This window comes from Homo sapiens, chromosome 3 (assembly GCF_000001405.40).
Source record: "Homo sapiens chromosome 3, GRCh38.p14 Primary Assembly".
Lineage (NCBI taxonomy): Eukaryota > Metazoa > Chordata > Mammalia > Primates > Hominidae > Homo > Homo sapiens.
In genome coordinates, this window is record NC_000003.12 from 74300384 (window position 1) to 74312783 (window position 12400).

A 12400-nucleotide genomic window follows, 5' to 3' on the forward strand; every position below is an offset into this window, starting at 1 on the left:
ATAAACTTCACAGGGGCATCAGATTCTCACACTGAGAACTCTAGGCTTAGTGAACCCCATGACACAGCTAGAATAGAAGTCCCATGAAGGTGGGTCTTTGGTATGGTCACAGCTGTACTTGCAATGTCTAGAAAGTGCTGAGCACAGAGAGGATGCTCCCTAAAATATGTGTTGTGTGAACAAATGACCAGAACACCAGGGCAAGCACAGTTCCTCTATTTCTCATATTTCCTAGCATAAACATTATGTGCATTGTTCTGAGTGAAACAGCATCATGAAAATTACTGAAACATATTTGATGACTTCCATCTTAGCTGAGTTCCTAAAGTGATACACCAGCTCTATTTCAAACTTCATTTTAGTTAATATTAAATAATATTACAGATTCTGAAAAGGCAATCTTTAGGTCTCAATTGTCCCTATAATGTGATGCTATGTACACTTTCTAGTTTGAGTTTTAATGCTAGGATATTTCTAGAATAATAAAAGCAGTCTTATGGTCTATGTGAATAGTTGTCTCACATGGAAATTCCTATCAATGATTTTTTCTTAATTCAACACTTGAAGTGACAAAATATACCTATTCATCAATTGCTTAAGCTCCTTCACTAAGCTTGGTGGCAAAATGAGATTTCCTAGCAGCAGAACTCCCAAATGTCATTATCCTACCAATTTGCCAATGCTTGTTATAAATGAAAACAGCACTTCCCTTGTTAACAGGGTAACTATGTCAGACAGTAATTATAACCTTAAGTGACAAAAGCATATTCACTCACATGCACTAATGATCATTTACAATGGACTGAACTCTTGGAAATGTCATACTACATCAGAGTCACTTACATGTGTTTCTTTTGACAAATGCCATATGGCCAGTTCTGCCATTAGAAAGGTTAGATAACTGCAACAATGGATTATTGAGGCTGACCCCCTGCTGGCCTGGAGTTCAGGGCCAAGGGAAATGGAAGTACACAGAAATCTATTAATCCATTACTCAGAAAAAAAAACACTAACCTGCCTCTTCAGTTCTTACTTTTTCTGAGGGTAAACTTGGTTCTCCACCTCCAATTTTGTTACTGGCTACAACCCGAAATTCATATTCCACCCATGGGTTTAACTCAACTACAGTGGCTGTGTGCGTCTTCCCATCGATGACCTCAGGCACTACAAAGGAATATTTCAGAGGTAAGAGTCTGCCTGCTTTAGCATTGACTTGAAATCCATTTATATGTGTGCAGATGACATCTGCCTCTCCTGCTTTACCTGTTGTGACGGTTTGCCAACCCACGGAGAAAGGTGTCCGAGCCTGGATAGAATAGGATATAACTGGGCTATGGTTGTCTTTACCTTCTTTCCAAGAGAGTTGGGCTGTTGTGTCTGTAATTTCATCTACCTTCACATTTTCTGGTGGTCCAGGTGAACCTAAGGAAGGCACAAATGGAAACATTGAGTAGCAGTTCCATAAATGTCATCCTCTCCTATCAAAGAGAAGAGAATGTCACATGACCACTTCAATATCTCTGACTTTTCCCAATTTCAGAAGCACTTAGGGAAAAGGCCATTTACCTGGTAATAGAACAACTACTTCCCTCTACTCTCCCTCCCCGCATTTCTGTTGTTAGATCTTAAATTTGGATGTGAGGCAGTAATTCCCAAACCATAATACTCTCTGATTGCAGATGATATTCACTTTTAAAAGCCTCTGTTCAGCAGGATTCCTGTACCTTTCTAAATTCAATGTCCTCTGCTCCTGGTGTGATGCCTTTCCCTTTAATCCACTGGTGTATCTCTGTAGTTCCCAATCTGATATCTAGATGTGTTTTATTTTATGACACACTCTGGTCATTTTTCAGCCCAGTAGCAAATCAGTATCCTGGGCAGCAGCTCAGGTTGGCAAATTTTCTCAGTCATTCTGAATAATCCTGATACTTTTTTTGTATTTTTAGAAAAATGTCCTGCATACAATTATTCCCAAATCCTGATTATTTTGGAAGCAAACACACTGCACAATATTCTCTCTCAAATTAAATACAATCACTGAATTAATGACATGCTCAAGAACACATCAGCTTGGCAGCAGCTGTGGAATGCCAATTACAGTGAGAGCTATTTGAAGGGCAGAGTTGAGATTTTTATTTCTTTGAATTAGCACTCACCCCTATTGTCATATTCTGTGGTCTATGAGGGGGGATGAAATCAATATTATAACTCGTATGCTCACATACTATCTCATCATGGTTTTTCCTCCAGTAAGGAATGCTGTTAAGATGTGAAGTGACAAACTCAAGGGGGCATAAATGTTTTACCTCTTACTATGAGGTCAGCAGCAGATGAAACACTGTCCACCCCCGTTTGCACCATACAAACATATTTCCCACTGTGTTTCAGCTGAATGTTTCTGATCATTAAATCACCAGATGAACTCTGTTGGGAAAACAGGTAATGAATACACTGTTATTTTTTTAAAAAACACAAAGAAGTTTGAAGTCTATGGCCAAAAACAACAACATTGCAATGAAAACTATATTTAGGGAGCAAACCAAGGTGGTATAAGAGAGTAGATTGCTACAATGGAATGTATGGAAATATAAACAAGTTAAAAACCATACATGACTGCAGTCAAAGATTTCTGTAGCCAAATAAACAACAAGCTTCCTCCTGGGCATTTATGGTTTCAAAAATAAATAAGGGCAGAGATTACAGTCTCAGAGTCTATTTACTTGCACCAGGGTGACACTTCTTTTTATATCCACTGCTCAGCACCAGCTCAACTCTTTTCTCTGGTTCCAACCCCTTTGCAATTATCTGCCTGAGAAGAAGAGGGACACATGTGGGTATCTAGTGGGAGATAAATGCAGCATGACAAGCGGATTACCATGGTTGAAACACTTTTCTGAACACACTGGAGCTTAAAAAGCCTAAAGCTGTTTAATTCCTTGGCTGCAGAAGTTAGGGACAGTAAGCATGAAAGCATGAACCCCTCAATAAGAAGAAATTAAAACATTTTAAACCTTAAAAATAACAGCTAGCCGGGCACGGTGGCTCAAGTCTGTAATCCCAGCATTTTGGGAGGCTGAGGTGGGTAGATCATTTGAGGTCAGGAGTTTGAGACCAGCCCGGCCAATATGGTGAAACCCCATCTCTACTAAAAATACAAAAATTAGCTGGGTGTGGTGGCGTGCCCCTGTAATCTCACCTATTTGGGAGGCCAAGGCACGAGAATCACTTGAACTTGGGAGGTGGAGGTTGCAGTGAGCCGAGATCAAGATCACACCACTGCACTCCAGCTTGGCTGACAGGCAAGACTCTGTCTCCGCCTCCAAAAAATAAATAATAATAACAGCTGTCCTTAAAGACATTTGCTGGCATTCCCAAGAGCTAATTAACAGAGCAATTATATTTCTAAAAGCTCAATGTTAAATGGACCTCATTTTAAGAGCATGTAAAATTGTGTTAATAAAATGACTAACTGCAAGCCAGTTTCACACATTAGTAAAAATATGACTTGTAATAAGTCATATGATTTCGAAACCAAAGCCCTTGGAAAATGATCATCAGTTCATGTCAGAACTGGTAAAGAGAAAGAAGCAATAAGTAGCGTTTATCTTAATTAAAAGAAAAGTTTTAGTCTTGAATTTTTGTAGTATATATTGTAAGATGAATTCTACTATCCTATTTTTAGGTAATTTCCTAAAATCTTCCATAGGGTAATTTCTTAAATATTGCTTCCCATCTTTAGGATTCTTAATGGGTTGCATGTTCTCTGTTAGTTGTATTGCATAGTTTTACATGAAATTTGTGAGAACTGGAAGAAGACAGATGGGAAATGATTGATAGTTGTAATTAAATGATAATCCAGAAACTGTTAAGCTTGCATGTTTTACTTTCATCAAGTTAAAACTTTTTTCTTTCCCTCTCTCCCTCTCCTTCTCCTAGGGTTATTTAGAAATGTATCCCCAGGACAAAAACCTTTAATGCTTGCTGACCTTTAGAAACTCTTAGGTCTTACGAGCTTCATATATTCATAGGAGGTTGATTATCACTTCTATGGAAATCTCTCATTTTCGGTGAAAAACTGTTACTATTAAATGCCATCTAAGGCATTGGGGTAAGGTTGTTATTCTTGCCAACCTTTATTTGCTTATTTTGAAGGCATCTGGGTAAAAGAGAACTGTGTCAGGATTTTATGTCCTCACATATCTGGATACACCTTTTAGGCACAATGGCTGGCTTTGTTTCTTGAAGGAGTAAGGAAAAGTTTGGTGGTGGACTTTTGACTTCTGTTCACTCTTGGCACTGACAGGTGAAGACAAATAGCTGCATCATAAAAAATGAAGCCATCTTCCTAAAGAAATGTAGTCAGGGGAAATATAATTTTTAATTATCCTTTTACACTGCACAGTAGAAAAAGGAAGCAATTAACTAAAACAAGTAGAATTGGAAATGATTTTTTTTCAGCCCCAACATGGAATTGAGTGTATGAATACATAAAAGGAGAACACAATTTGACAGAGAATAAGAGAGATCCTCTCCTTATTTTTTGTCTCCATTAATAAAATATATTTGTATTATTCCTCTTCTAATGCTATCTCTCTCCCACTCTATGATCTTTTAAGGGAGTACTACATAGAGACAAGATTTATCTTAACAAAAGCGCATCCATTGCTTGCTATGTTAGATTCATTCAAGGACACAGAAGTGTTTAACACATGGCCCATGCTTTCTAGGATGTAAACTCAAGTCAGGGTAAAAGGTGGTGTAAACATGTGAAACAAGTTATGTTTACAAATTTAGAAAGTGTAATCCACAAAGGTTAAATAAAATCACATGGCATATGCCATGTGTAGACGACGGCAAAATGAAAGAGACAGACACTTCCAAGTTCTGCTGAAGATGTGGAACTGGAACTCTTATTGCTGAAAGGAGTGTAGATTGGTACAATTACTCTGGACAATTGTTTAGAAGCATCTACGAAGGCAGGACATACATATAATTTATGACCCATCAATTCCATTCCTAAGTATATGCCCTACAGAATGGCATGCAGCTGTCTACCAAAAGACATTTTTTACAAGAATGTTTATAATTATTATCCATAATAGCTAAAAATAGAAACAACCCTGTAACAGTAGAATGGACAAACAGGTAGTGGAATAATCATTTAACAAAATGCTATTAGGCCACAAAAATGAATGAACTGCAACTACACAGATCAACATGGTTGAGTTTCAAAAGCGTGAAGGATATGAACCAGATGGAAAGGAGTATTTGATCATGACCGATCATATGAGAAGGCTGGATTGTGGCTACCTTTGGAGGTATGGTAGTTTTGGGATGAAGCACCATGAGGACATCTAGGATGCGGGTCATCTTCTGTTTCTGTTTTCAGTGCTGGTCACTTGAATGTGCTCATTTTGTGAAAATGAATTGGGCTATCCTCTTATGACTTGTTCATTTCTTGGTAGAATGCAATGCTTACCAAAATGCAGTTATGATTATGCACAACTATACCCCTAAATGCTCAGCTTTCAATAGGGTCATAGATGGGAGAAGTCAAGTAACATGACTGTAATTCCAAACTCCAACTTCTTTCATGGGAATTAAACATTTAATAATAGTAATTAAATTAAAATGTTATTAGCATATCTTAACATTTCTTATCAAGATGCAATTGAGTATTCCCAGGCATTTAAGAAAAAAAAGGTAAAAGAAACTCCAAAAGGAAGTTTCACTTATGTCAAACTAATTCTTTCCCCCATCAATTTGTCATTGTTAGAGAATATAGTTAGTCATGAATTAAATGTGATAAAGGATGTGAGAGAGAAATGTCCAAAAAAAAAAAAAAAAGAAACTCGGTAAAATTAGTTGAAATGGGATGAAATAGTCCTAGATGGATTATTTACCATATTTATAAATAAACTTGCATCTAATATTTAGAAATAATAAGAAACATATTTGCCATTCTTTAGAGTATAAAATAATTCAAGTAACACAACACTAACCATCTTTGGACAAATTCTTAGAAACACTAATAATACTTTGAATAAAAAATAGCTTATCTGTTAAATTAGTTTGTCTTTGTTTGCATTATTTTCCTAAACTTCCTTTTTCCCCACCTCCTCAAGCAGGAAGGGACCAGAATTGAGAAGGTGCAAATTCATAGCTTTATTTTCTTCTCCTCATATCTCTATTTTGCTCAAAACTTCCCCTCAAAGCCCACTAGTGTAATTCTGTTTTCCAGAAAGCACATCTTTTTTTCTATGCTGCTGTCCACAATTTACTCAGGAAAGGAGTTTTTGGAAGTGAGAGAAGTCTATTCCAGTATCTTACGTAGGAGTGTAAGAAGTAGGATATGATCCTCTAAGTCATACAAATTGAGTTCCTTTTTCAAAGCACCACTTATTAAAAATAAGATCATTCATTTAAAAACTGTTTATAAAGTAACTATTCTACTTTAGTTGCTGGGAATACGATGCTGAAGGCAAGAAAAAAGAAACAGTCCTTATGTTCATAGGGCATAGAGTTGGAAGACAGGCATTAATGAAATGACTACACAAATCAATGTAAAATTATAATGTAATGTAAACCCAAAGTACATTGGGGGAATCTAGAACTTTTTGGGGTTTCAGTGAACTGCTCATTTGAGCTAAGATTTAACATATGAGCAGAAGTTGTCCAGGAAAAGTGGGTAAAAAAATAAACTACACTAGGGTACTTAGGCATGTGCAAAGACCTAAGGTAGGTAAGAACACGGTTTATTTGAGTAACTCAAGAAGGAGAGCTGAATGGGGTGGACAGGGGATAGGGATGTCAGGGGTAGAGTTAATCCACAAATAGTTAATCTGTCCCCAGAAAATAAAAAGTTCACTGTAGCTGACTTCAAGTTCATATTTACATCTTAATGACAGTAATATTTTTTCTTTTTTGTAGTTTTACAATATCTACTAAACTTAGCTAGGATTACTTTATTAGTCAATTATTTGTCCATCTAATCACACAGGTTTGTCTTAGGAAAAAACAAATCATATTTCCATAATATGTTACAAGTATTAACAGTAAATGGATTTGTAAGCCAAAGCATCCTTGAAATAAATGCTAAGGGAAAAGCCAGTGTGTATCAAATGAAATAGGAGAGGATATGATTAACTTTTCCCCTGTATTTTCTTAGATGATGACACTAATGGAATTTTTGATGTAATTTAAAAACCACTCTGCACTAAAGAAAGAAAACACTACCTGATTTGATAACCCATACCAGATAAAAATAAACAAGCAGAAAGATCATCACTAATTACAGGTAGGCTGAAAATACATTGTGATATCTACCACATGCTAAAATCAAGGTTTAAAATAAACTTCGGAATTAGGGGAACCTCTTGAACCTTGCAAATATTGTACAAACTTTCAGTATAATAAATTATAAGCAAATAATGAATTCGCTAGTAAGCAATCTCAATGTAAAAGAAGCATAATTTTCCAGTTTAAGAAAAAAAATTACATTTTGATGGCTATTTGGAACCGAGGTTGAGTAAGCAGTCCTCTTTTTTTATGACTTTACACAGCCTGTTATTGCAGTGCTTCCAATATTAATCATTCATTCCTTCACTGGGTTGCCTTCCAAACCCTGACATTACATGTAAATCATCTCCAGGTGCCTTGAAAACAGTCGAACCTGTAAGTTCCTTCTGGAACCTGGTTGGCGTTTTCCTCTGTAAGACTCCCGGAAGGAACAGGTGGTGACACGGCCCACCTCTGCATTTTTGACTACACAGATTAAACCTTGCCCCCACCAATGCCAAATGGCTGCATCAAGTTCACCTTCATTACTAATGTACGCTGCTCATCCAAAAAGCAGAAAGAATTGGCAGTCACTGAAACATGAAAACAGGCCCTAACATTGTAAACAGTTTTAATTTTTCTGACTGATTACCAGTTTCAACTGTCACATGGTTGTCTGAACAGGTGATATTTAAGACAGGTAAGATGCAATCAGTTAATATCAAAATTTGCTTGACTTTCTTGGGTACCAATAAACTGGAATAATTGCTCCATTACAGGATTTTGAGTCCCAGCTTGTTCCATCATAAGTGTTTTAAAAGAGTGACACATCAAAGATCACAAAAACTTGGTTGAAGGCACTTCATGCCTATTTTAGGTTGTGTCAAGTGCCACGGTGCCTCAAAGGTATCTGCTTTTTAATTTCAACATCAAGTTCATATTAACAACTTGGGAATTTTTTTTTTTTCTGGCCAGTGCGATGTGTTGATTTTGATGGAGTAAGAATTGGTGATCTCAGGATGCCTAGTCTGCTGTCCCAGCAATCTTAACCCAGTGTTTTCTACACTTAAATCATTAGAGTCACGTCTTCACAATTGTTTTTGCCATATCCTGGTACCAAATGTTCTATTATTACTTAATTTTTCTTAAACTGATTAACTTTCTTCAACTTAATGTGGGAATTGACATATAAAATGTATATTTTTATCCTAAATGGAAATCTGCTCACCAAAATAATAGTTACCTAGCAAAATTAATATAATGAGTAGAAAATTATATAAATAGACACTGTCCAAAATAATTTAAATGCTCACTAAGCTGGACACTGTCAAAGTCCCTGAGCCGGAGACGTTTGCTCTGTTAATTAAAGATTAGCACGTATTAGAAAATAGCTAATGACAGGCCTAATATCATGTTTAGCCATTTATTTATTTATTATTTATTATTTATTTATTTATTTTTGAGATGGAGTTTCACTCTGTCACCCAGGCTGGAGTGCTGTGGCATGATCTTAGCACCCTGCAACCTCCATCTCCTGGGTTCATGTGATCCTTCCACGTCAGCTTTCTGGGTAGCTGGGATGACAGGCATGTGCCACCATGCCCAGCTAATTTTTGTATTTTTAGTAGAGATGGGGTTTCACCATATTGGCCAGGCTGGTCTTGAACTCCTGACCTCAAGTGATCCACCCGCCTTGGCCATTCTCCTTGATTTAATCTAAATGATTGAAGTAAAATTGAAAATAGAATGACTCTCTCATTCTATATTATATTATTTAATGCTACCTGTTGAGTACAGAGTCTGTGTTTTGAAAAACACTGTGCTATCCAGTTTGCTAAACCCATTAGTTCTCAGTGCTGGCTGTACTGTAAATTCACCTGGGAAATCTTTTTAAGAAAATACCAGAAACACCTAGGTCACATCCAGAACAATTAGAAATTAAAATGGACTAGAAAGAGGAGACTCTCTAGGTGATTCCAATGAGCAGTTAGGGTAAAAAAATTATTAAACCTCCTGGGATATTGCATTCCTCATCTTTACTCTTCTTGAAGGTATAAAAGGCTTCAGATAATTGCTCTGATTTCTCCTAACTCTAATAATCTAGGTAGGCTGTGTAGGCTGTATACTGCTGAACTCATAAGCCGAAAGCAATACTCTATTTTCACCTTGAGAGATGGGCAAGAAAACTAGTATTTGTGAAACAGACACTATGTGTCAAGCACAAGGCTCATTTCCTTGACATGACATTGCCTTGGTGTGCTCATCATAATTTTAAAAGCAACAGTCATTGACATAATTCAACATGGTGATAAATTGCTATAGATACATACATAAATTTACTGCTAATCAACCTCAGTCATTCTAGGATTACTCTTGATTGATGTGACAATTCTTGCATTGAATTAAAATATTTCAAGTCAAAAGAGCTTACTTTGAGTAAAGTTTAACTTGTGGATCAAATCTCATTATTTTTGTCTTACCTTTATATTGCAAGTATAGAGAGTAGATCTGCCTCTTGTAGAATGATATGAATGTTACATAAGAGAAAAAAAACATACTGATATGAAGGAATAAAGAGCCATTGTTTCATAGAAACTTGATCATGTTATGCCAAATGCCATTTGAGTTTCAATTTACTTTGAGTTTCAATTACTATTGCTATATAACAAATTACCCCAAACCTTAGTGGATTAGAAAATTATCATTTTTTTTTCTGTTCAGTAATGTGTAAGTTGAACAGGCATCATCGAGGACTCATCTCCATTGGACACTTCACTAGGTGGGGGGCTTGATTGGAAACTGGCAAGCTTGTTTATTTGACCAGCAAGTTGGTATTGGCTGTTGGGAGTTCAGCAGGACCAGTGGGCTGGGACCTTGGTTCTTATTGAGAAGGACCTGTCCACAGCTGCATAGGGTTCTTAATACTATAGTGGCTGGATACCAAGAGTAATTGTGCTAGTGGAACAAGGTAGAAGTGGATACATTTTTAGAAACTAGCTTCAGGAATCATACTGCATCACTCCTATTGTTTTTTATTGGTCAAGACATTCACAAAAGTATACTAAATTTCAGGAGGAGAGGGATAGATTTTACTACTTGGTAGGGAGCAGTGTTAAAGTCATGCTGCAGTAAGAGCATGTTGGATAAGATATGTTGCTACAGCCATCTTTGGAAAACACAATCTGCCACAGCCTTCCAGATCCATTTTGCACCTGCCATACTGCCTCCGCCTTGGGCAGCTGACCTATATGGACCAAAGAGAAAGGTTCCCTTATACTCTACCAGTTTCTTGGGATCCTCTTACAAGATCTGAGGGAGAGAGGACAGTGAGTTTAGGGTATTTATTCGCCAAGATTCATCCTTGCAGGCTCTTTTGAGCTGACTGTGCCAAGAATCCAAGATAGGTTATTTATTTATTTAAAGCAAAACTCTGGACTAGACACCCTTCAATTTGTGTCAGTAGCCTGTGTGTAAACCAGAGAAAGAACTCCCAATGGCTCAGAGAGAATAAATTTATACCTCTCCCAGGAGAGTTGCTCCCAAAGAGATCACACTATTTTTATTACAATCACAGACCTATGTAGTCTGGCAATTCTCTTGATACTTCAGAAGTGTGAATTTTTCATCTCAAAGTCATATTGAAAAAGATAAAGAAGGAAAGACTAGGTTTGATATCAGCTGTAACTATCGATAGACTATTTTCCTGGTAAAGTGCATGATCTAAAATTTTAAAGTTAGGATAAGAAAAAAAAGGTTTATAAAATCAGAATGTTTTACATAAAAATAATTTAGAAAACCCAATCCACCTAAAATTCCTGAGTCTCTGAGTCTAAACTTTTCAATAACCCCAAATGAACCATTTATTATTCACTTTCTTAATCATGTTCAGATCAGTTAAATGTTATAATTAAATGTCATGCCTTGCAAAGTAGAATGATTTTCTTTCTGAAATTAGAGCAAACCATCTAAGTCAGCATGAACAGTTCCATCTCAATAAAGAGACAAGTAACCCAATTAAAAAATGGGCCAGCTAACCTGACTTTTGGTTTCTGATGGGCAGGTAAGGAACTTAGAAGATGTCACTCTCTCCTAACAACAAATAAAGAGCTGAACAAACTGAAAAATCAACAACTAATTCTTAGATCTGGCAGAGAAGTGAGGTCATAGGACAAACGGCTTCCCCTTAATCAGACAGACAGGTGGATACAGATAATCACAACTTGGAGTAAAAACATCCCCAGGAACCAGTGCTGGGCAGGAAAACATGAACTATAATTGAGTAATTGCTGGAAGTTCAGTGTGGACAATTCCGTGAGTTAAAAACTCCACGAAGAGCCAATCATAGGGGGTGCTGCACACTTGTGTTAATTTTGCCTCAGAGAGTTCTACTGGGTCCTCACAGTGAATATTGGAAAAAAAAAATCCCCTCATGTTTCTGGTAGTTGTGGGGGGAAAACAGACCATTTTGAGATACATTAGAACATTCTGTTCTTAAAAAGCTCTGACCTCAGGCCGGACGTGGTGGCTCACGCCTGTAATCCCAGCACTTTGGGAGGCCGAGGCGGGCAGATCACGAGGTCAGGAGATCGAGACCATCCTGGCAAACATGGTGAAACCATGTCTCTACTAAAAAAAATACAAAAAACTAGCCAGGCGTGGTGGCGGGTGCCTGTAGTCCCAGCTACTCGGGAGGCTGAGGCAGGAGAATGGCATGAACCCGGGAGGCGGAGCTTGCAGTGAGCTGAGATTGCACCACTGCACTCCAGCCTGGGTGACAGAGTGAGACTCCATCTCAAAAAAAAAAAAAAAAAAAAAAAAAATGCTCTGCCCTCAGCAGCTACAGCCTAATCTGCTGGGGTTTTCTAAGAGTCTAGGAGGGGAGAAAAATAGCCAACTCCAGGCCCCTTAAGCCATCCTGTTCCACGTAAGAAGGGACAAAGACTGAGAAGCACTGGTGAAGTTCACAGTCTAGGGGCATAAGTTCATTAGACGACTGAGACCTACTCATAGGACTACAACATTCTTTCCCTCACCCTCACACCTTACCATTACATTACTAGAGGCTTATTTGTGGCAGTCCCTTTTACCCAGTATATCACATCTGCCTTTCAACAAAAAATTA

General features: G+C 37.4%; 1 protein-coding gene across 5 annotated transcripts in view; it reads right to left on the reverse strand.

The window, feature by feature from the left end:
- Nucleotides 1-12400, reverse strand: part of CNTN3 (contactin 3) — a 352092-nt gene that overhangs the window by 37816 nt on the left and 301876 nt on the right. For all 5 annotated transcript variants that reach the window (NM_020872.3, NM_001393376.1, XM_011533768.3 and 2 more), the window contains 3 exons: nucleotides 2307-2424; nucleotides 1264-1422; nucleotides 1015-1164 (listed from right to left, as the gene is read on the reverse strand). In NM_020872.3, coding sequence (NP_065923.1) covers nucleotides 1015-1164; nucleotides 1264-1422; nucleotides 2307-2424 — 427 coding nt within the window. The remainder of the gene's footprint in view (nucleotides 1-1014; nucleotides 1165-1263; nucleotides 1423-2306; nucleotides 2425-12400) is intronic.